This window comes from Homo sapiens, chromosome 16 (genome assembly GCF_000001405.40).
Source record: "Homo sapiens chromosome 16, GRCh38.p14 Primary Assembly".
NCBI lineage: Eukaryota > Metazoa > Chordata > Mammalia > Primates > Hominidae > Homo > Homo sapiens.
This window is the reverse complement of record NC_000016.10, coordinates 3,042,625-3,064,947: the sequence shown is the minus strand read 5'-3', so window position 1 is coordinate 3,064,947 and position 22,323 is coordinate 3,042,625. Positions and strand designations below refer to the sequence as shown.

The following is a 22,323-nucleotide window of genomic DNA, read 5'->3' as shown; positions in this document are numbered from 1 at the left end:
GGGCTCTTCTAGCTCCACGGGTTCTGACCCTCCAGCCTGGCTGGGCCTCCCACCTCCTCCTCACGGCCCCCAGCCCCCTTCCCCCAGCTGAGCACAACCACGCCCTTGCCTTTGGGATGGTTTCCTGGGGCCAAACTAAGGAAGTACCACGACAAGGGGCCCTAAGTCGAAGACGTCTCTTCCCTCACGATCTGCAGGCTGGAGGTCCAAGGTCAATGTGGGCAGCGTGGGGTCCTTCTGAGGGCCCGGAGCTGGGATTCTGTTCAGGTTTCTCCTGCCCTTGTAGATGGCCATCTTCATCTTCATCACGTTCTGCCTGGGTGTGACTGTCCCCCTTTCCCCTTTCCAAAGGACACCAGTCATATTGAAATAGGGTCCACCCTAGGCCGGGCGCAGTGGGTCACGCCTGTAATCCCAACACTTTGGGAGGCCGAGGCGGGCAGATCACCTAAGGTCAGGAGTTCTAGACCAGCCTGGCCAACATGGTGAAACCTTGTCTCTACTAAAAATACAAAAATTAGCCTTGCGTGGTGGCCGGCACCTGTATTCCCAGCTACTCGGGAGGCTGAGGCAGGAGAATCACTTGAACCCGGGAGGCGAATGTTGCAGTGAGCTGAGATGGTGCCACTGCACTCCAGTCTGGGGGACAACAATGAAAATTCCCCTCGGAAAAAAAAAAAAAAGAAGTAGGATCCACCCCAGTGACCTCATTGTACCTTAAGTACCTCCATAAAGACCCTGTTTCCAAATAAGGGCATATTCTGAGGTCCTGGGGCTTAGGAATTCAGCATGGATGCAATGTATCCCATTATATTCTCAAAGGGGACTCGGAGAGACAGAACCTATAAAACACGCTCCATGGAGAAATCTTCCCTTGGGTGAAGTAGACAACGGTTGTCACCTGCCTGCCACTTAGGAGTCCATTCCACTGTGCGCAACCGCCTTTCCACATACAGGATGTCCAGATCTTTCCCTGAGTATCCTCTGAATTGTAGTGGGAGACAGAAGGAAGCCACTCCTGCACCAGCTAAAAGTCATGCTTTAGGCTTCAGCTCCAACCCTAGCCCCTCATGACTCTCAAAGGCCACCATCTGAAGACATCTTGGGATCCACCCAGACTGTATGTACCCTGTTTTTATAGCTTTATGGTGATGCAATTTACAGGCAATGCAATTCACTCATTGAGCTGTACAATTCAAAGCACAGAACTGTGCAGCTATCACCACAACCCATTTTAGAACATTTTTATCACCTCTAAGAGAAATTCTGCCCTTCTGAGACATCACTGCCAGTCCTCATTTCCCTGGATAACCACTCATCTACTTTTTCTTTTTCTTTTTTTTTCTTAGAGTCTCGCTCTGTTGTCTAGGCTGAAGGGCAGTGGCACGATCTCGGCTCACTGCAACCTCTGCCTCCTGGGTTCAAGCAATTCTCCTGACTCAGCCTCCCGAGTAGCTGGGATTACAGGCACGTGCCACCACACCCAGCTAATTTTTGTATTTTTAGTAGAGACGGGGTTTCACCATGTTGATGAAGGAGTCTCGAACTCCTGACCTCAAGTGATCTGCCCGCCTTGGCCTCCCAAAGTGCTGGGATTACAGGCATGAGCCACTGTGTCTGGCCTCATCTACTTTCTCTCTCAATGGATGCCTCTCTCCCAGACATTTCCTATAAGTAGAATTATACACTAGGTGATCTTCTGTGTCTAGCTTCTTTCACTGAACATGCTATTCTTGAGGTTCATCCGTGTTGTAACACGCATTATTCCTTCATTCCTTTTTCTGGCTGAATAATATTCTACTGTGTGGATAGACCACATTTGGTTTCTCCATTCACCCCTCGAAGGACATTTGGGTTCTTTCCACTTTTTGGCTAATTCCGAATAATGCTGCTATGAACATTCACGTACAAGTTTCTGTGCAGACGTATGTTTTCACTTCATATGTATGAAGCAGAAGAATAGCTGGGTTACATGGTAAATGTGTTTTTATCCTTTTGAGGAACAGCCAGACTATTTTTCAAAATGTCTGTCATTTTACATTCCCAGCAGCAGTGTGCGAGGGTTCCCGTGTCTCTACAACCTCAGCAATACTTGTTATTCTCTGTGTCTTTTCAATTCCAGCCATCCCAATGGGCTGAAATGGTATCACGTGACAATTTTTTTTTTTTTTTTTTTTGAGGTGGAGTCTTGTTCTGCCACTCAGCCTGGCCTAATTTCTGTATTTTTAGGAGAGATGGGATTTCACCATGTTGGCCAAGGAGTCTCGAACTCCTGACCTCAAGTGATCTGCCCGCCTTGGCCTCCCAAAATGCTGAGATTACTGGCATGAGCCACTGCGTCTGGGCTTATCTACTTTCTCTCTCAATGGATGCATCTCTCCCAGAGATTTCTTATAAGTAGAATTATACACTACGTGATCTTCTGTGTCTAGCTTCTTTCACGGAACATGCTGTTCTTGAGGTTCATCTGTGTTGTAACACGGATCAGTCCTTCATTCCTTCTTCTGGCTGAATGATATTCTACTGTGTGGATAGACCACATTTGGTTTCTCCATTCACCCCTCAAAGGAAGTTGGGGTTCTTTCCCCTTTTTTGCTATTCTGAATAACGCTGCTGTGAACATTCACGCAAAAGTTTCTGTGCAGACTTATGTTTTCACTTCTCTTGGATACGTATGAAGGAGAAGAATAGCTGGGTTACATGGCAAATGTGTTTTTATCCTTCTGAGGAACAGCCAGACTATGTTTCAAATTGTCTGTCATTTTACATTCCCAGCAGCAGTGCCCGGGGGTTCCTGTTTCTCCACATCCCCAGATACATTTGTTATGCTCTGTGTCTTTTTAATTCTAGCCATCTTAGTGCGCTGAAATGGTACCATGTGACAATTTTTGTGTTTCTTTTTTTTTTTTATTTGATGCAATCTCGCTTGGTCTCCCAGGCTGGTGTGCAGAGGCACGATCTCGGCTCACTGCAACCTCCAACTTCTGGGTTCAAGCGATTTTCCTGCCTCAGCCTCTCAAGTAGCTGGGATTACAGGCATGCGCCACCACGCCTGGCTAATTTTTGTATTTTTAGTAGAGACAGGGTTTCACCATGTTGGCCAGTTGGTCTAAAACTCTCAAACTCAAGTGACATCTGCCTCTCAAACGTCTGCATCAGCCTCCCGAAATGCGGGATTACAGGCATAAGCAACCGTGCCCAGCCAATTTTATTTTTATTTTTATTTTTTTGAGACACACCTGTTGCCCAGGGTGGAGTGCAGTGGCGTGATCATGGCTCATTGTTGCCAAGACTTCCCGGCTTCAGGTGATTCTCTCCTCTTCGCCTTCCAAGTAGCTGGGAATACAGACACGGGTTGCCACCATGCCCGGCTAATTTTTTGATTATTTTGTAGAGACAAGGTCTCACTATGTTGCCCAGGCTGGTCTTGAAACCCTGCGATCAAGCCATCCTCCCACTTTGGCCTCCCAAACTATTCGGATTATAGGCGTGAGCCACTGTGCCCAGCCTCTTTCCAACTTTCTGGATGATGTCCTTTGAAGCACAAAAGTTTTACATTTTGATTATGAGACCATGCCATTTTTAAACGATACCACTTAAAAAATAAAAATAATCACTTTGACATGACATTTTTGTGTAGCAGTCATAAAATTTTAAAGGCTCTGGAAGTCTACATGGAGCCATGAGGCAGTCTCAATTCCACAGTGGCCGTCCGTCCTCCGGGTGCCCCATAACCAACTTTTCGATTCCTCTCTACTTCGTCCTCCCACTCTTCTTTCTTCTTATTATTATTATTTTTATTTTTATTTTTGAGACGGAGTCTCGCTCTTTTGGCCAGGCTGGAGTGCAATCGTGAGATCTTGGCTCACTGCAACCTCCCTCTCCCGGGTTCAAGTGATTATCCTGTCCCAGCCTCCTTAGCAGCTGGGATAACAGACATGCACCACCATGCCTGGCTAATTTTTTTTCTATTTTTAGTGGAGATGGGATTTCAGTGTTGGCCAGGCTGGTCTCAAATTCCTGACCTCAAATGATCCGTCTGCCTGGGCCTCGCAAAATGCTGGGATTAAGGCATGAGCCACCACGCCCGGGCCCACTCTTCCTTCTTAGATTCCCCATCAACCATGGATTCCTTCTGCGAAGCAGGGAGATTCAGGTCAGTCCAGTTCCTGCCACCACACTTCTCCCCAGGTCCATCAATGCTCAGAAGAATGGAAGGGCTTTTTGTACATTCGTTTTTATTGTCCTGAGTGGGATGAATAAGTTTCTAATATACAAATTTCCCCCTCCTCATACATGGAAAAGAAACTGACAGAGGCCCAAATCGTTTCCTGGCAGCCCAGAATTCCCAGGTAACTGACCAAAGTCTCCTGCCTTCTGTCCTCATGCTGATCTGTTTGTATGAGCAACTGGGGCAACCCCTCGCATGGTTGCTGGGACAGCCGCCCACAGCCTCAGCTCCAGGAAGCACTAGGGGGTCACTGAGGCTGGACAGCAACTTAGGAAGTGGCCCCTAAGTGACTCTACCCATGGGGTTCAGGCCATCGGTGTGGCCTGAACATATTGGTCCTGGGGTGGAGGAACACTGCAGAGCCACAGAAATGCCACGAAACAGCCAGCTACTGCCCCCCACAATCCCCGCGACTAGTTAAAATGCAGATTCCTGACCCCACCCTGAGTGAGGATTCAGGGTGAGTGTGGGATCTGCAAACTTAAATTTCCCAGTGATTCTGATGTGGGATAGTCTAGAAGAATAGTTCCAGAGGCAATCATTTAGATCCTAAAACTGTGGGGAGTGGGGACAGGGTGAACGAGGTGCCCCCAGGTTCCACCCACCCCTCACTCTAGAGCTAAGGCCTCCCAGGAGGGAGTGCTGAGGAGGCAATGACCAGGCCTGAGCCAGGGTTCGGTCCCTGTCTTTCCACCAGCGTTGAGTTGATGGGAGTCAAGCTGTTCTCTCCAGGGTGCAAGCAGGGAAGGGGTTCTTGGGGATAGAAGGGTTCCCCATTGAATGGAAGGCAGTTCTGGGCCCAGGGAGGTGCCCAAGTTGGGTGGCCTGGGGAGGAGGAGGTGGGTGGCGGGGGAGCAACGGAAAAGGTTAACAGCCTGGAGAGCAAGGGTCGTCCCTCCAGCCACTGATTCCACCACCCAGGACGTGGCGCATGGGTCCTCAGGGGTGATATCTGGGCTGGTTCCGGGTCTGGGTCCCAGGTCCCCACCAGTGTGGCAGTGACTGTAGGGGGGCCTTGTGGGAGCAGAACGGGGTGAGAAACTGCGGGTGGGAGAGGGGCAAGGCACAGCTTCGCAGTCAGGCCTGTCCTCTAACGACCCAGGAATGCCAGACGCAGTGGCCAGGCGGGGCGGGGCTGCGGAGAGTCCCAGGACTGCGCTCCGAGAAAAGCTGGCTCTTCCTGGAAAAGGAAGGTCCTGCGGGGCCAGCGCGCGACCGGGGCTGCCGTCCCTCCGGGTGAGGCCGCGGGCCCGCCCCTTGTCCTCCCCGCCCCTCCCCGGGCTCGGGAGGCGGGGTCCGACCGCCCCCTGGCGGCAGCCGGGAGGGAACGACGGGGGCGACGACCGACGCATGGTCCCAGCGCGCGTGCGCCCCTGAAGGCGGGTTCCGGTGGCAGCGCCGGGGTCTCAGACCCTGAGGAGACTGAGCCCAGCGCCAGGCGACCGGTCCCCGCCGCCGCCGCCCCTGCGCGGGAGATCCCCCCTGCTTAGTCCGCGCCCGAGCCCCCGTCCGTGGGAACAGACAAGGGGCCTCCGCAGCGCCTCACAACCCCCGACCAGGTCCAGCGGCGGGGGACTCGGCCGTGGAGGGCGCTGTTCGGTCTGGATGGCTCCCCCCATCAGCGGGAGGCTACACCCCCCACCAGCAGGGGCAAGAGGAGCAGCGGGATGGGAGCAGGCCAACGTCCTGCGGCCTGGTTGAGCTCGCACTGACAATCGCAGGTTTCGGACACGGGGGTCGCTTTGGGGGGCCTGGGGGCGCGGGGACCAGAGCTCGGGGCGGGGCAGTCCAGCCAGTTGGGCCCCATGGGCTGGGGGGCGTCCGGCTCGGTCTTGATGCTGTTCTTGGGGAAGCGCCAGTAGTGGGCGCCCTTGAAGAAGTAGGTGTCACCTGGAGGAGCAGAGCTTGAGTCCCGGTCCCTCCCCGCCCCGCCGCTCCCTGATGCCCAAGGACCCCCATCCCCGCAGGGTGGCCTCCATGTCCCCATTCCCCACATCCCTCTCCCCACCCCCAGGCCCAGTAACCCGCAGGTCACCGCGCTCCCCACCTGCGTTGCTGACGGTGACATCGTCAGGGGAGGGGGGCGCGCCTTCCCAGAGGCTCAGGTCGCGAGGGTAGCCGGGGTCCGGGCGCGCCGCCGCCTCGTCGTAGCGCCAGTACTGCCGGCCGCGGACCAGGTAGGTCTTCCCGTTCTGTGGCCACGAGAACACGGCGTCCACCTCCTCTCCCGGGGGCAGCCCCAGCTCCGTGAGCGGCCGCGCCCCGCCCTCCAGCTGCCGGTCCTGGAACACCCAGAACTGGGGCCCTGCAGGGTGGAGGCCGGGAGGTCAGGGGTGGGCTCCCCGCGCCGGCCCCAGCGCGCCCCGCCGCCGGCCCCACTCACCGCTAAAGAGGAGGATTCGGCCGTCTCGGTGCCGAGCATAGGCGGCCTGCACCACCCTCACCTGGGCGGGCAGCCCCTCCCAGAAGCGGTGCAGCCGTGCGGGTCGCGGGGACACCAGCTGTCCGGAGGGCTGGAGGCGCCAGAACCAGGGGCCTGCAGGGGACAAAGGGGTTCGCAGGAAGGCATGAGACAGCAGGAGGTCTCCTCCCCCAGGGTGTGTGGCTGGGTGGGGAGGGGTCCCATCTGGAAATCAAGGGCGCAATGGATCTAGGGTGACCAGCCCATCCTGGCCCGCCTGAGACTTTTCCCTTTTTAGCGCTAAAAGTGCCAGGGCCTTGCCTGGTGGCTCAGACCTGTAATGCCAGCACATTGGGAGGCTGACACCGGAGAATCACCTGAGCCAGGAGATTGAGCCCAGCCTGGGCAATATAGTGAGACTCCATCTCTACAAAATAATAAAATAAATTACTAGCAAGGCGTGGTGGCATGTGCCTGTGGTCCCAGCTACCAGGGAGGCTGAGGTGGGAGGATCGCTTGAGCCCAGTATTTTGAGGCTGCAGTGAGCCATGATCACACCACTGCACTGCGGCCCAGGCAACAAAGCAAGACCCTGTCTCAAAGAAGAAAAAAGTTCCGCTTCCAGGGTAAGCCCACAGCCCCAGTGGGTCACTGGAAGTGGGCAGGAAACCAACATATATGAGGCCAAGTGAAATGACTCACCTTTGAAGAAGAAAGTTTCCCCTCGGATGTTGGCGATGGCGTCAAAATTGCCCTCACATCGATCAGGGATGGGGAAGGATGGGCTGGGGAGGAAAGGAGAGGTGAGTAGAGAGGGGGGTTTGTTTTCTCCAAGGCAGGGACCCCCACCATCCCCATCTCAGAGGACACTGAGGCTGGGCAGCTGGTCACCCAAGGTCTCCGAGTTGGTGGGGGACTCACCTGTGTGTGGGCGAGGCCGGGGGCTGGGGCGGAGGAGCCAGGGGTTTCCTTGTGGGCTTGTCATATGGGGTTTGGGGCGCCTTCCCTGTGAGGAAAGAGTCAGGCAGGTGTGCGTCCCCTGGCCCTGCTGCAGAGGACACTGGATGGGGCAATGATGGTTTCGCGGCAGGTCCCTCTCCCCCTACCATAGAGTTGCTGCAGGCCATCGCGGTCATCCTGAGACAGGCGGTACTTGTCAGGGTCGCCCACCGGACCCTGGTAGAAGGGCCTCATAATGGAGTTGGGGGCTGAGGAGTGGCCCAGGCCCAGGGCGTGGCCAAACTCATGGACAGCCACGGCAAACAGGTCGGTCCCCTCGCCGTCTGCAGGAGAAAGTGGGTGAGAGCTGCGGCCGCCCCTGCTTGGGGAAAGGGGCCACAGGAAGGCCCTGCGAGTGCAGCTGGGGCCAACAGGAACAGCAGGACACCCTCCAGAGGTGGCCCCAGCCTCCTCTGCCCAGCCCTTCCTGAACTCTCCATCATCCCTGTCTCCAGTCACTCAGTCAGCATGGCTGTGATGGACACTGGACCACAGGGCTGAAAAGATCCAGAGAACACACAGAGGAATAGGCCACCTTACACACCGATGGGGCCCCTCCTCTGGGAAGGGAGCACTTTGTGCACAGAAGTTTGAGGGGGAGGAGCTGGGTGTGGTGGCTCATGCCTGTAAACCCAGCACTTTTGGAGTCCCAGGTGGGAGGATCGCTTGAGCCCAAGAGTTCAAGACTGGCCTGGACAACATAAGGAGATCCCCATCTCTACAAAAAAATTTTAAAAATTGGCCAGGAGTGGTGGCGCATGCCTGTGGTCCCAGCTACTCAGGTCCCAGGCTGAGGCAGGGAGGCAGGAGAATCGCTGGAGCCCGGGAGGTGGAGGCTGCAGTGACGCATGACCATGTCATTGCACTCCAGCCTGGAGGACAGAATAAGGCCCCGTCTCAAAAAAAGTAAAAAGAAAAAAAAAGAAAAAGAAAATAAAAGAAACTTAAGAGGGCGGTGGGGTGAGGGCAGGAGCCTACAAGGTGCGTGCCATTCTCTTCAGGCAGCCCCAGCCCTGGGAGCATCCCCTCCTCCCAGCTACAGTCTATAGTCAGCGACCCCCACCCGTCTCCCCCTTGCCACCCCCATCTGCTGGGGATGTAGGTCCATGTCCTTGACCCAAGACCTTCCCTCATTCCTGCCCCCATCCCTCCTCAAGCCATATCCCTTACATCCCTTGAGTCCTCCATCCCCCCTCCCCCATCTCCCTGTTCACAGCCTCTGCCCCTCCTCTCCCTACCCTGTACCACCCCCACCCCAGGTCTTCCTCCATCTCCTTGGGAACACAGAGCTCCTCTAGCAGGCACTCTCAGAACACAGCCTGCCGGCCCCAGCACCCGGCCTTGCTCCCAGCCTCTTCCCTCTGTATTCAGCTCAGGCGCTCAGGACTGCCAGGACCCAGAGGATTCACACGCCAGCCCCGGCTGAAGCCCAGCTCCTCATCAACCGGTGAGCCGCCTGCCAGCTCCTGCTCCAGCTGCTGAGAGGCCTGAAGAGACCAAGACAGAGACACAGCCCCGCAGCACCACAGGGAGGCCCCAGTTACCCCATGCGGATGAGTTTCATGGCCATCTCTAACTAAGGTCAGCACTGTTCAGGGCAGGTTCATAGGTAACGACCTGGTGAACTGAAAAGCAAATTTCTCTCGGTCCCTAAAGCCACTCGCTGAGCGTCTAAGCATGAAACGTGAGACCTAAGAGGGGTAGCAAACACGTTTTCGTTCACTTCTCACCAAACCTGTCTCCTATGCCCATTTTACAGAGGAGGAAACTGAGGCACAGAGACTTCAAGGTAGATGGCCAGGTACCCTGGCTCTGCCAGCCTGCCTTTCAGCAGGGGCTTCAATGGTCTTGCTCAAATCACATCCGCACTGACGAATTTCCCTGTCGACTGTAGGTTCTCTTGTTGCTCTGAGTCCTTTTTCTGAGAAACTGGGGGTAGTTTGGTGTTTCAATCAGGGCGATATCTTTCATCTCTCACCTTCTTCCCTGCCTTGTCTCTCCTTGGCCATACTGGGCTTCCGGGCCCTGCACCCCTTCCTGCACCCTTGTCACGCCATGCATCTGGGGGAAGTTACACAACCACAGCTGTGCAGACCCAGCCCCACAAGATTCCCAGAGGGCAGTCCACAGGGGCCCCGGCACCTCCTGTCATCCTTGCTCCAGGCTTTGGCAGGCAGCTCCTGCACGCTCCCCTCAGCCCCATTCCAGGCCCACAGCCCCTCAAGCTTCCACCCAGCCCCAGCCACTAACTCTCAAATGACAAATGTGTTTCCTGTTTCATCAGGACAGGACATCGATGTCATCTGTAACTTCCGGTGCACTGGGGCACACAGCTGCATCTCCCCATGCTCACCTCCTGCCTCTTGCTCTGCCCAGTGTGAGGACTCAGCCTGGATCACCTCCTCCAGGACAAGAACAACCTACCATCATCTGTCCGTCCAATCTACCCACCCATCCATCTCTGCCTCTGGCCATGCATCCGTCCGTCCATCCATCCCCGCCTCTGTGCATGCATCTGTCCATCCATCCCCGCCTCTGTGCATGCATCTGTGCATCCATCCATCCCTGCCTCTGTGCATGCATCTGTCCATCCATCCCCGCCTCTGTGCATGCATCTGTCCATCCATCCCCACCTCTGTGCATGCATCTGTCCGTACATCCATCCCTGCCTCTGTGCATGCATCTGTCCATTCATCCCTGCCTCTGTGCATGCATCTGTCCATCCATCCATCCCCGCCTCTGTGCATGCATCTGTCCATCCATCCCTGCCTCTGTGCATGCATCTGTCCATTCATCCCTGCCTCTGTGCATGCATCTGTCCATCCATCCATCCCTGCCTCTGTGCATGCATCTGTCCATTCATCCCTGCCTCTGTGCATGCATCTGTCCATCCATCCATCCCTGCCTCTGTGCATGCATCTGTCCATTCATCCCTGCCTCTGTGTATGCATCTGTCCATCCATCCATCCCCACCTCTGTGCATGCATCTGTCCATCCATCCCCGCCTCTGTGCATGCATCTGTCCGTCCATCCATCCCTGCCTCTGTGCATGCATCTGTCCGTCCATTCATCCCTGCCTCTGTGCATGCATCTGTCCATTCATCCATCCCTGACTCTGTGCATGCATCTGTCCATCCATCCATCCTTGCCTCTATGCATGCATTTGTCCGTCCATCCATCCCTGCCTCTGTGCATGCATCCATACCTGCCTCTGTGCATGCATCTGTCAGTCTATCAATCCCCGATCCCTTCTTTGTAATGGTGTTGAGCGCTCACAACTCCCTCATCCTAAGACGCTCGTTGGATCCATTCCCTCCCCTCACCCCATGCTGCTCTCTGCCCTCCCTTCCCGGTCAAGTTCTCCAGCCAGTGGTCTCAACTCAATCTTCACTTCCCCCGCTCCTCTCACACCTATCCCCACTGCATTCTAAATTCTTCCCCAACGCGCTGGGCCTACAGGCACTAAAAAGGTCACTTTGTCCCTGGATGACCAAACACAGGCCAATGTAACTTACTGGGCTTGTTTTGCCCCAGCCACAGCTGACCACTTCCTCCTTCACTCTTGTTGTTGATCACCTTTGGGCTTAGTCTTTCTCCATCTCTGTTGAGTCCTTCTCCCCTGCCACCTACTCCTTCATGCTGGGGTTCTCTGTAGCTCTGTACCTGACAGTCACGTTCCACCCTTTCCTCCCAGAAGCTCGCCAACCCCCGTGGACTGCTGGCTCTCAAGGCGGCCGCTAGCCCAGCTCCGACAGCAGCTGACAATGCACAGTATGCGGCCCAGGGCAGGCCCTGTGCTGAGAGGCATGGGTGAATGGCTCATTTCATCGGCAAGCCCACGCCACCAGCAGGCGCCGTTCTCCTCGCATTTCTCAGGCGAGGAACCTGAGACAATGAGGTTAAGGAAGTTGTTCATTACAAGTGGAAGAACCCTGACTTACTTGAATTCAGCTTTGAAGCCCACATTCTCTTTTTCTGTGTGTGTGACAGGGTCTCACTTTGTCACCCAGGCCGCAGTGCAGTGGTGTGAACACAGCTCATTGCAGTCTCAACCTCCCTGACTCAAGCAATCCTCCTGCCTTAGCCTCCTGAGTAGCTGGGACTACAAGCATGTGCCACCACGCCCAGCCGAAGCCCATATGTGAATGTTGAGGCACACAGCCTCCCCAGCCTCTGCCTTACCAAGCCCTCCACAGGGCCTAGGCACCCTCCCTGGCTGCCCCCTTCCCCCGTCACTCAGGCTCCCCAGCAGCCAATGTAGTTAATATGGGGCTGCAAAGAGCTGGGCCTGGCCTCAGGCGGGACCGCCTCCCCGGCATTGCCATCCCTGCTGCAGAGCTCCCATGCGATCAGCCTCCTCTCCAGCTGAGACCACATCCTCACTCAGCTTCTAGGCTGTTCCTGCTCCCCATTCCCCTCAGCACATGGCCCCTGAGAAACTGCTTGCACAAGAATTTCCCTCTGGAGCCCCACCTCTGGGGAACCTGACCTCAGACAGAGGAGACCAAGCTCTAGGGCAGGATCCTCCACCTCCCTTGCCCCACCGGTGTGGCCAGCCCAGAGCGCTGCAGACTCCCGCCCAGACCTGCACTTGTGCCTGCCTTCTGCCAGCCTGCTCCTCCTCCTCCCACTCTCACACCTGCATTAACAGCACCAGGACGCCATCCTCCAAGGGCCCCAGCCTCATCTCCCCTGTCACCAGGATCCAGCCAGATCTCAATCCTTGCCCATCCTAACTGAACCTCCCTCAGATCCGTCCACTGCCCCCTTCCCCAGGACCACACTCCACCATCTCTTGCCTGGACCCTGCGAGAACTTCCTGCCTCCCTGCCTCTATCCTACCCCCTGCCCCCCGCTGAAGCTGATGATAGTTCCGGAATGCAAAACCCCTTAATGATTCCCCCATTGATCAAAGTCTTCCACATGCTTTCAAGGTCCTTGGTGATCCAGGACCTGCCGCCTTCTGCAGTCTCCCTACTGATGCCATAGTTTTGGCTTCTGGCCTCATATGTCCCGGGTCATTTCTCTGGTCACTGGCTCCTCTTACCCCTGACTCAGCTGGCTCACTGCTTTCCCATTGGATCTCAACCCTGTGTACCTGGGGAGAGCGGAACTCTGTATGTCTTGTCTTGTGCTAGTAGTCACTCAGTGTGTATGTGTGGATATTCATATATATATATATATATATTTGAGATGGAGTTTTGCTCTTGTTGCCCAGGCTGGAGTGCAGTGGCACGATCTCGGCTCACTGCAACCTCTGCCTCCAGGATTCAACTGATTCTCCTGCCTCAGCCTCTCCAGTAGCTGGGATTACAGGCTTGCACCACCACACCCGGCTAATTTTTTGTATTTTTAGTAGAGACGGGGTTTCAACATGTTGGTCAGGCTGGTCTCAAACTCCTGACCTCAGGTGATCCACCCACCTGTGCTTCCCGAAGTGCTAGGATTACAGATGAAAGCAATCACGCCCGGCCTATATTCATATATATATTGAGGGAACGAAGTCACCTCTTCTAGGAAGCCTCCCCTTGCCCAAGAGCTTTGGGCCAACATCTCTGAGCCCCTGCAGGCTTGAGGACTTCCTCTGCTGGGATTCTGTGGAGCTGTGTCACCGTGGGTGTTGTCATTGCCAGTCACTCTTCTGACTCAGCTGCCAGGTAAAGATTTGTTTTCGTCTCCGCAAGCCCCCAGCTCTGGCTTGGAGCTAGGCACCTGCTAGGCCTCTGTGATGGTTCATTGTGTGTGTCAGTTTGGCCCGGCTGTCGTGCCCAGCTGGTTGGTGAAACACCAGTCTAGATGCCATGGTGAAGGTCTTTGTAGATGCAATTAACATCTACAATCAGTTGACCTTAAGTCAAGTAGATCATGCTCCATAGTGTGGCTGGGGGTGGGGTGGGGGCAGAGCCAATCAGTTCAAGGCCTTGAGAGCTAAAGCTAAGGTTTCCTGGAGAGGAAGGAATTCTGCCTCCAGACTGTCACTGAAATCCTGAGTTGCCAGCCTGCCGTACAAATTTTGGACTTGCTATCCCCTACAATCCCGTGAGCCAATTCCTTAAAATAAATCTCTTTACACACACGCACACACACACCCCCCCCACACACATACACACACACACACATCCCACACACACGTGCACACACACACACATCCTGTTGGTTTTGTTTCTCTGGAGACCTCCCAGCTGATAAAGCCTCCATCAGTAAATATAATTTAAACCTAATTATTGGCCAGGAGTGGTGGCTCATGCTTATAATCCCAATGCTTTGAGAGACCAAGATGGGAGGATCACTTGAGCCCAGGAGTTCAAGACCAGCCCTGGTGACATAGTGAAGCCCCATCTCTACAAAAAGTTTTAAAACTAGCCAGGTGTGGTGGTGCACATCTGTGGTCCTGGCTACGTGGTGGCTGAGGAGGGAGGATCACTTGAGCCCAGGAGGTGAAGGCTGCAGTGAGCCGTGATCGTGCAACTGCACTCCAGCCTGAGCAAGATAATGAGACCCTGTTTCTACAAAAAGTAAAAAAAACAAACAAAAAAAATAGCCAGGTATGGTGGTGTGCACCAGTGATCCCAGCTACTCTGGAGTCTGAGGTGGGAGGATTGCTTGAGCCAGAAGTTCGTGGTTGCAGTTAGCTATGATTGCACCACTGCACTCTAGCCTGAGCAACAGAGCAAGACCTTGTTTCTTAAACAAAACAAAACACACAACAGAAAACTTATTCTTAAGACCAGACCTGGCAAGAGGATCTCTCATAAGAGAGGAGATTTTACCTTTTGACCCAAAAGTCCAGGTCTCCTCATCGTCAAAGTGAGTGTCCCCGGAGATGGGGTGCTCCCCAGGGAAGAAGGCATGGGCTAGGGTGCCCCCCAACCCGTCGAAGGGGTAGCTGTCCTGGTGGAAGGCGCGGGCAAAGTCGATGAGGATGTCGGGCTCCTGGCCCTGGGGGGAATCCACCTCATGAAATGTGAGGCCTGACTCCATGCCCCAGGCCATCAGGGCATAGCTCATGAGGACCCGCACGGTCTCCTGGCTCAGCTGGGAGCTCTGGGGGAAGGAACGTACCCTGGGGAGAGGGGAGTGAGGTGTAAGGGTGGCCGTGGAGGGAGCAGGCAGCCATTCAAAGCCGGAGCCCAGCAGGCAGGGCCAGGGTGCGGGTGGGCCCCAGGACCTACCTCCATGTCAGGGTTCGCTTCTTCCACACGCTGCCGCTCAGAGCGTACCGGCGACGCCGCCTGACCAGCCCCGCCACCCCCAGCACGTCAGGCAGGGAGCAGCGGGGCTTACGCATGGTGGCCACTGTCCCTGGGTCTGCGGGAGACATTTGGCGGTGGGGGGTGTGTCCACAATAGGAGAGCCTGCCTTAATCATAGCACCAGTCAACTTTCTACATGGGAAAACTGAGGCTCAGAGGGCTCAAGAAATGTGCCCTCGAAGGCCCCACAGCCCAGGTTTGAACCCAGGCAGTCTGTCTCTGGAAGCCAGCTCCTACCAAGCCATTCCTACTGCCCTTTGGAGTGGCGTCACCTGGCCTGGGACAAACTGGCTGCATGCAGGTGATGCTCAGAGGCTCAGGCCAGGATTTTGCATCCAGCTTCCCTGGGCCCTGGTGGGCGGACTCTGGAGAAAGGAGCCCTGGGTATGCAGTGAGGACCCTTTGAGGCTGGAACCCCCTGGGAGCTGTGCAGGCCTCACACCATCACTGCCAAGTTCTCCTCAAACCCAGATTAGGTCCAAAGTGCCCAGGCCGGCTGGGTCTCTGGCCTCCTGTGGCAAGCCACCCCCTCCTGGGTTAGGTCTCTCTGGGGTCCCCTTTCCCAGCTGGGCTCCATCCCCAGTAGCCTCATCTCCAAATTAAGGTCAAACTGCGCCTCATTTATTGAGGCGGCAAATAGTGATGAAGGACATATAGATGCCAGACACTGTTCTAGGCTGTTTGTGAGTCACCAGGACAGACACAGGGCCTACCTTTCCTTGTAGTGAGCCAGATCCTTCAAATTCCCTCTTCCTGCCCACTTAACCCCACAGAAGAGTTCCTCGGCCCTGCCTCCAAAATATACACCCCGAATCCAACTACTTCTGGCCACATATGCCACCCATCCTTCTGCCACCATCCCTCGTGTGGACTCCGCAGCCGTCTTCTGCCTGGTCTCAGGGCTCCTGCCTTCCATTCTCCATCAGGACCCAGAGGAAGCTTAAAACTGCAAGTCAAAGCCGGGCACGGTGGCTCATGCCTGTAATCCCAGCACTGTGGGAGGCCAAGGTGGGCTGATCGCTTGAGGCTAAGAGTTCGAGACCTGCTTGGCCAACATGGCAAAACCCTGTCTCTACTAAACATACAAAAAAATTAGCTGGGCATGGTGGCGGATGCCTGTAGTCCCAGCTACTCAGGAGGCTGAGGCAGGAGAATCACTTGAACCCGGGAGGCAGAGATTGCAATGAGCCGAGATTGCGCCACTGTACTGCAGCCTGGGCCACAGAGTGAGACTCTGTCTAAAAAAAAAAAAAAAAAAATTGCAAGTCATACCAAGTTCTGAATTGCTTCCCTTCTGAGAACACTTAGGTGGTTGCTAATCACCCTTGGAATCAACCCTAATCACCTTTCAGGGCCCTTGGCTGAGGCCTCTCGCCAGAGCTCTTCAATGCTCCTTTTGCTCCAGGCACACAAGCTTCTGCGTGCCGTGGGGTCTTTGCACTTGCCCGGGACACTCTTCTTCCACATCTTCCCATGGCTGGTTCCTCCTCTTTGTGGTCTCAGCTCATATGACACTTTTCAGAGGGACCTGCCCTAACCAGACCAGCCCCTCAATGCCAATAGCATTTTATTTTTTTCTAAACACTCACCGCCATCTGAAATTATCTTTCATATTTATGTTCTTGATCTGTCTCTCTCTCTCTCCCTCGAGAAAGTTAGCTCCATGAGAGCAGGAACCTTACCTACTTTATTTATCACTATACCATTGGAGCTGAAAGGGCGTGGCATCTAAGAGATGCTCAAAGTATATTTGGTTAGAGACTGGGTCTCCATCTGTTGCCCAGGTTGGAGTGCAACGGTGCAATCATAGCTCACTGCAGCCTTGAACTTCTGGGCTTAAGCAATTTTCCCATCTCAGCGTTCTGAGTAGCTGGGACCACAGGCCTATGCCACTACACTCAGCTAAATTTAAAAAAATCCTTAGAGGACTGGGCACGGTGGCTCACACCTGTAATCCCAGGACTTTGGGAGGCCAAGGCCGGCGGGTTACCTGAGGCCAGGAGTTCGAAACCAGCCTGATCAGCATGGAGAAACCCCGTCTCTACTAAAAATACAAAATTAGCCTGGTGTGATGGTGCGTGCCTGTAATCCCAGCTACTCAGGAGGCTGAGGCAGGAGAATCACTTGAACCTGGGAGGCAGAGGTTGCGGTGAGCCGAGATGGTACCATTGCACTCCAGCCTGGGCAAAAAGAGGGATACTCCGTCTCAAAAAAAAAAAAAAAAAATCCTTGGAGAGTGGGGGGGTCTCACTTTGTTGGCCAAGCTGGTCTCAAACTCCTGGCCTGAAGCAATCCTTGAGTCTCCGCCTCCCAAAACCCTGGGATTACCGGCATGAGCCACCAGGTTCTTGATAAATGCTTATGGAAAGATGAACGCCTGAGGCCCTCTGGGTTTGGGGCCTGAGATCAGCATCTTCACAGCTCCGTGTTCCAGGAGCACACTGAGGTCTAAAGGCTGTTGGGCGGTGGACAGGCTGGGTGCAGAGGCAGGGCTGGGGAGGGGTGGGGGCCACCTACCCATGCGGCCGGTCTCCGGCAGCCCCGCGAACCTCTGCATGACTTTGATGGCATCGCGCAACTTCTCAGGGCTCTGCAGCTGGGCCTGGGCAGGGTGGGGTGGCGGCAGGTAACCATAGCGAGTCAGCCAGTCCTAGGGCATCGGAGGGGGCAGGTGAAGCGGGCTGGGTGAAAAGTATGGGCTCTCTCTGCCCACCACCATCCTGGCAGCCCTGCCCCTCCCAGGCACCCAGAGCCCAGGGCCCCAGCCCCGGATGCCTGCCTGCTCCCCTCCATAGGTCCCCGCTTCAGTCCCGGGTTTGCCAGTCTTGTCTGGACTTCAGCTCCGCACCTCAGCTCCTTTCCAGAGCTCCAAATCCCAGCCCCAAACTTCCCGACAGACCCAAGAAGCCGGGAGCACAGACCCCATCCTCAGTCACTCTTTGGATATTGGAATCTGGCCCCTGCCTCCTCCGGACCCAGGAGTCCGGGCCCGGCTTCCCTCTCCCAATCTCTCTGCAGACCCCAGGAGCCTGCGGACCCCGCGCTCACCACGCCCAGGCTCACGTCCTGCGCCGAGGGCTTCGGGGCGCGCGCGGGCGGTGCCAGCAGCAGAAGCAGCAGCGCCAGAAGCCGGAGCCGCAGCCGCATGGTGCGCCCCAGCCCGGGCCGCCGGCGGGGTTCGAAGGGGGCCTGGCTGGGGCCGCCCCGGGGACCTGGGGGAGGAGATCCGGGCCTGGAGAGGGCGGGGGGCACCCGGCACCGAGTAGGGAGGGATCGGCCGGAGGGCTGGGATGTGTGTGGGGGTCCCGGGAAGTGCGCGGTGGAGTCAGCGGAGGGTCCCGGAGGGCCAGGGTCGCGCCGCTGGGTCGGGTGGGCCCGGGAATCCCAGGATGGTTGAGAGGGCGCGGGAGCGGCGGAGGTCTGGATGTGCCGCGGCGGCCTCTCGGGGTCCCGGGGCGCTGCGCCAGCGGCCCCTCCTCTCCGGGCGCGAGCGGAGGGCTGGGTGGGGCGGGCCGGGCCGGGCCGGGCGCACCCCGATATGCGGTAAGGGCGCGGCAAGGGAAATGGCCCAATCTTCGGACGTCCAGCGACAAGGGGCGGGCCAAGAGGTGGCCCCTGCCCGACCCAGAGACCCTCCTCCGACGCAGGACGCCCGGGCGGGGGCCGGGGGTCCACGGCTCTAACTCCCTCGTCCGCAAGTTTCTCTTCCCAGATCCCCGCTCCTGTGGGACTCCCCGGGGCAGGGCTCGCTTCTGCTTTCTCGAAGCCGCGCGGCCTGGGGGAGGGCGGCCCGGGCCTTCGGCTCAGCCAGCCCTCCCCATCCCTGTATCCCGCCCCTCTCCTTCCCCCCAGGACCCCGTGGGGCAGGTTGTCTGAGAGCCGGGGGGATTTCCGGGCAGCAGGAGGCTGGGAAGGAAGCCTCCTTCCCCGCGGGGTCCCGGCCCGCCCTCCGCCCCGCCAGCTCCAGCTGTGCGCGGTTGCAGCTGCCCGAGGGCCAATACTCAGTCCCTCAGCCCACGTGGGCTGCGCGCGGGGCTCGGCCTGGGCACGCGGGGGTTTGGGCCCCTCTAGATGCCGGGAGCAGCGGCTGCTCCGCGACTGCACCCCTCTCCCTAAGTGCCGGACATTTAAATGCTGCAGCCACTGCGCGGAAGCCACAGCGCCTGCCAGTGCCGGGAGCCGGGGACCGGGGAGTGAGTAGGCGGGGGAGATCCGGGAAGCCGAGACCTGGGGGTCTGCGAGCCGCCTCCTCCCGCGCCGAGAGCACCGGGCTAGGAGGCCGGACAGGTGGGGAAGGAACTGGAGGAAGCGGGCGGGAGGCTTCCTGGGGAGGGCGGGTGGGCGAGTGTGAGTTAAACTGCTCAGTCTCGGAGCAGTTCAGGGGCAGCCGCCGGAGCTGCTCACAAAATAAACAGCGAGCAGGATGCGGAGCTGGAGATGCAAAGGCAAACACTGCGATCCCGCGCCCGCTCGCTGGGGCCGCCAGAACAAAACACCAAGGACTGGGAGGCTCAACCAGAAGTTTACGTTCTCACAGTTCTGGAAACTGGAAGGCCAAGATCAAGGTGCCTGAGGGGCTAGTTTCTCCGGATGCCTCCTCCTGGGCAGGCAGATGGGCGTCCTCTTGCTGTTTCCCCACACGGCCGTCCCCCTGCGCTTGCACACCCCAGAAGTATCGTCCTCTTTTGTTTTGTTTTGTTTTGTTTTGTTTTGCTTTTTTTGAGACGGAGTCTCGCTCTGTCGCCCAGGCTGGAGTGCAGTGGCGCGATCTCGGCTCACTGCAAACTCCGCCTCCCTGGTTCACGCCATTCTCCTGCCTCAGCCTCCCGAGTAGCTGGGACTACAGGCGCCCGCCACCACGCCCGGCTAATTTTTTTGTATTTTAGTAGAGACGGGGTTTCACCGTGTTAGCCAGGATGGTCTCCATCTCCTGACCTCGTGATCTGCCGGCCTCGGCCTCCCAAAGTTCTGGGATTACAGGCGTGAGCCACCGCGCCTGGTCATTGACCTCTTGTAAGAAGTCAATCATCGGGGCCACCCTAAAAGCCTCATTTTAAGTTAGTCACTTTTTTATCAGCTCTATCTCTAACTATAATCACATTCTGAGGTACTGGGGGTTAGGGCTTTAACATACAAATTCTTCTTCTCTCTCTGGTTTGTTTTTTTTGTTTGTTTGGTTGGTTTTGGTTTTTTTGTTTGTTTGTTTGTTTTGAGCCAGGGTCTCGCTCTGTCTCCCAGGCTGGAGTGCAGCAGTAGCATGATCATAGCTCACCGCAGCCTGGAACTCCTAGGCTCAAGCAATCCTCCTGTCTCAGCCTGTCAAGTAGCTGGGACAACTGGCCCAAGCCACCATGCCCATGTTTTTTCTTTCTTTCTTTTTTTTTTTTCTTTTTCTTTTCTTTTGGTAGAGACGGGGCCTCCCTGTGTTGCTCAGGGCTTTCTTGAACTCCTAGGCTCAACCATTTCTCCTGCCTCAGGCTCCCAAAGTGCTAGGATTACAGGCGTGAGCCACCATTCCTGTAATGGTCAACATAAGAATATTGACAGGGCACAATTTACTCCATAACAGATCCCATGTTTGTCATCAGATTGGCAAAATTTTAAAGTCTGACAATGCCAAGTATTGGCCAGGTGTGACCCAGATGAAATTCGTGCTCTAGCCAGGTGTGTGGTGACTCACACCTGTAATCCCAGCACTTTGGGAGGCCAAGGCAGGAGGATCCTTTGAGGCCTGGAATTTGAGGGAGACCCAGCCTGGGCAACATACTGAGACCGCATTTCTACCAAAAACGGAAAGAAAGAAACGGATGCTCTGCAGGGGAGGCAGCATTTGTTCATATAGAAATAAAATAAATAAATAAAAAGAAATTCACCCTCTGCAGATAGAAACATGTTTTGTGATTTACCCTATGTGCCAAATTTGGTTCATATTAGAGACCAATAAGGCCACGAACACACCAAGAGAATAAGAAGAGTTTGATTACTCAACGATGAGGCTTTCTGGGAGAGCAGAGTGGGCTCCCAGGCAGCTCTGAAAGTGGTTTAAGAGAGCAAGGAGGGTTTTTTTGTTGTTGTTGTTTTGTGTGTGTGTGTGTGTGTGTGTGTGTGTGTGTGTGTGTGTTTAATGGAGTCTCACTCTGTCGCCCAGGCTGGAGTGCAGTGGCACAGTCTGGGCTCACTGCAACCTCCACCTCCCGTGTTCAAGTAATTCAAGGAGGGGCTTTTATTATGGTTAGGGGATAAAGTGGGATGAGGGTCCCTTCCAACCAGCCAGGACTTTCCTAATTTAAATTTCTCTATAGAGTGAGGGAGAGGGCACCAGGGCCTTCAGATCAGCTTGCCCACATGTGGGCACAAGGAGAAGAGGTAGGCACGGGGCTTTAAAGCTGTCAGCTGTAAAACATCAAAAAGGGAGTCAGGCACTTTATTACCTAGTATAAATTAAAGCCTACGCTTTAGGCCAGGCGTGGTGGTTCATGCCTGTAATCCCAGCACTTTGGGAGGCCAACACAGGCAGATCACTTGAGCCCAGGCGTTCGAAACCAACCTGGACAATATAGTGAGACCCTGTCTCTACAAAAAATACACAAATTAGCTGGGAGTGGTGGTGCACACCTATAGTGCCAGCTACTTGGTAGACTGAGGCGGGAGGATCACCTGTGCCAGGGACAGTGAGGCAGCAGTGAGCTGGTACTGCACCACTGCATTCCAGCCAAGTGACAGAGTGAGACCCTGTCTTAAAAATACATAAGCTGGCCGGGCGCGGTGGCTCACGCCTGTAATCCCAGCACTTTGGGAGGCCGAGGCGGGCAGATCACGAGGTCAGGAGATCGAGACCAGTCTGGCAAACATGGTGAAACCCCATCTGTACTAAAAATACAAAAATTAGCTGGGTGTGGTGGCTCGCACCTGTGGTCCCGGCTACTTGGGAAGCTGAGGCAGGAGAATTGCTTGAACCCGGGAGGCAGAGGTTACTGTGAGCTGAGATCGTGCCACTGCCCTCCAGCCTGGGCGACAGAGCGAGACTCTGTCTCAAAGAAAGAAAAGAAAAAAGAAAAATGGGTCTTTGCAGACATAAGCTAAAGATCTCAAGATGAGATCATCCTAGATTTAGGGTGGGCCCTAAATTCAATGGCTGGCATCTTTATAAAAGAGGGAAATTTCAGTCATAGACTAAGAAGACCTAGAGGGGCAGGTCACGTGAAAGCAGAGGCAGTGACTGGACTGATGTGGCCACAAGACACAGAACACCAAGGAGCATCTATAGTCACCATGGCCCAGGGAGAGGCATGGAGTAGATTCACCCTCAGAGCCTCCAGAAGGAACCAACCCTCACTTCAGGCTTCTGGCCTCCAGAACTGTAATACAATAATTTTTCTGTTGTGTAAACCCAGTTTGTGGTTTTTTTGGTTCTCTTTCTTTGTTTGAGACAGGGTCTCG

At 55.6% G+C, this 22,323-nt stretch overlaps 2 protein-coding genes and 1 long non-coding RNA gene across 10 annotated transcripts, besides 10 other annotated features; 2 read left to right on the top strand and 1 right to left on the bottom strand.

The window, feature by feature from the left end:
• MMP25 (matrix metallopeptidase 25) lies at window positions 4,222-18,387 on the bottom strand. 6 transcript variants are annotated; one of them, NM_022468.5, is made up of 10 exons: window positions 17,932-18,387; window positions 17,401-17,533; window positions 14,804-14,939; window positions 14,402-14,694; window positions 7,739-7,915; window positions 7,554-7,638; window positions 7,335-7,417; window positions 6,615-6,767; window positions 6,279-6,536; window positions 4,222-6,121 (listed from the first exon to the last, which is right to left on the bottom strand). In NM_022468.5, exons 1-10 carry the CDS (start codon window positions 18,028-18,030, stop codon window positions 5,850-5,852), a joined length of 1,689 nt encoding a protein of 562 aa, NP_071913.1. In that variant the 5' UTR covers window positions 18,031-18,387; the 3' UTR covers window positions 4,222-5,849. The 6 variants fall into 6 exon arrangements, with proteins under 6 accessions (NP_071913.1, XP_024306159.1, XP_024306158.1 ...); XM_024450391.2 differs by lacking the exons at window positions 17,401-17,533; window positions 17,932-18,387 and adding an exon at window positions 16,229-16,714; XM_024450390.2 differs by lacking the exons at window positions 14,402-14,694; window positions 14,804-14,939.
• Window positions 4,435-5,340: an enhancer, noted in NCBI's record as "H3K27ac-H3K4me1 hESC enhancer chr16:3109609-3110514 (GRCh37/hg19 assembly coordinates)". NCBI's record gives its function as "activates a minimal SCP1, AML or CMV promoter by ChIP-STARR-seq in naive and primed H9 embryonic stem cells {active_cell/tissue: H9 hESC(naive and primed)}" and the evidence as "EXISTENCE:reporter gene assay evidence [ECO:0000049][PMID:30033119]".
• Window positions 5,379-5,848: a silencer, noted in NCBI's record as "silent region_7111". NCBI's record gives its function as "represses an Ori minimal core promoter by ATAC-STARR-seq in GM12878 lymphoblastoid cells {active_cell/tissue: GM12878}" and the evidence as "EXISTENCE:reporter gene assay evidence [ECO:0000049][PMID:35858748]".
• LOC124900372 (sialidase-like) lies at window positions 5,578-11,594 on the top strand. 3 transcript variants are annotated; one of them, XM_047434999.1, is made up of 4 exons: window positions 5,578-5,952; window positions 6,246-6,408; window positions 9,003-9,212; window positions 9,916-11,594. In XM_047434999.1, the coding sequence occupies exon 4, from the start codon at window positions 10,173-10,175 to the stop codon at window positions 11,139-11,141; it is 969 nt and encodes a 322-aa protein (XP_047290955.1). In that variant the 5' UTR covers window positions 5,578-5,952; window positions 6,246-6,408; window positions 9,003-9,212; window positions 9,916-10,172; the 3' UTR covers window positions 11,142-11,594. The 3 variants fall into 3 exon arrangements, with proteins under 3 accessions (XP_047290955.1, XP_047290954.1, XP_047290956.1); XM_047434998.1 differs by having other exon boundaries at window positions 6,246-7,898; XM_047435000.1 differs by lacking the exon at window positions 6,246-6,408.
• Window positions 5,578-12,823, top strand: MMP25-AS1 (MMP25 antisense RNA 1). Its single transcript, NR_123723.1, has 5 exons — window positions 5,578-5,952; window positions 6,246-6,408; window positions 9,003-9,212; window positions 9,916-10,008; window positions 11,326-12,823. It is a non-coding gene; the product is annotated as an MMP25 antisense RNA 1 (long non-coding RNA).
• Window positions 6,309-6,358: a silencer, noted in NCBI's record as "silent region_7110". NCBI's record gives its function as "represses an Ori minimal core promoter by ATAC-STARR-seq in GM12878 lymphoblastoid cells {active_cell/tissue: GM12878}" and the evidence as "EXISTENCE:reporter gene assay evidence [ECO:0000049][PMID:35858748]".
• Window positions 6,499-6,628: a silencer, noted in NCBI's record as "silent region_7109". NCBI's record gives its function as "represses an Ori minimal core promoter by ATAC-STARR-seq in GM12878 lymphoblastoid cells {active_cell/tissue: GM12878}" and the evidence as "EXISTENCE:reporter gene assay evidence [ECO:0000049][PMID:35858748]".
• Window positions 6,659-6,708: a silencer, noted in NCBI's record as "silent region_7108". NCBI's record gives its function as "represses an Ori minimal core promoter by ATAC-STARR-seq in GM12878 lymphoblastoid cells {active_cell/tissue: GM12878}" and the evidence as "EXISTENCE:reporter gene assay evidence [ECO:0000049][PMID:35858748]".
• Window positions 14,843-15,435: an enhancer, noted in NCBI's record as "H3K4me1 hESC enhancer chr16:3099514-3100106 (GRCh37/hg19 assembly coordinates)". NCBI's record gives its function as "activates a minimal SCP1, AML or CMV promoter by ChIP-STARR-seq in naive H9 embryonic stem cells {active_cell/tissue: H9 hESC(naive)}" and the evidence as "EXISTENCE:reporter gene assay evidence [ECO:0000049][PMID:30033119]".
• Window positions 16,927-17,506: an enhancer, noted in NCBI's record as "H3K4me1 hESC enhancer chr16:3097443-3098022 (GRCh37/hg19 assembly coordinates)". NCBI's record gives its function as "activates a minimal SCP1, AML or CMV promoter by ChIP-STARR-seq in naive H9 embryonic stem cells {active_cell/tissue: H9 hESC(naive)}" and the evidence as "EXISTENCE:reporter gene assay evidence [ECO:0000049][PMID:30033119]".
• Window positions 18,385-18,674: a silencer, noted in NCBI's record as "silent region_7107". NCBI's record gives its function as "represses an Ori minimal core promoter by ATAC-STARR-seq in GM12878 lymphoblastoid cells {active_cell/tissue: GM12878}" and the evidence as "EXISTENCE:reporter gene assay evidence [ECO:0000049][PMID:35858748]".
• Window positions 18,715-18,914: a silencer, noted in NCBI's record as "silent region_7106". NCBI's record gives its function as "represses an Ori minimal core promoter by ATAC-STARR-seq in GM12878 lymphoblastoid cells {active_cell/tissue: GM12878}" and the evidence as "EXISTENCE:reporter gene assay evidence [ECO:0000049][PMID:35858748]".
• Window positions 19,355-19,434: an enhancer, noted in NCBI's record as "active region_10294". NCBI's record gives its function as "activates an Ori minimal core promoter by ATAC-STARR-seq in GM12878 lymphoblastoid cells {active_cell/tissue: GM12878}" and the evidence as "EXISTENCE:reporter gene assay evidence [ECO:0000049][PMID:35858748]".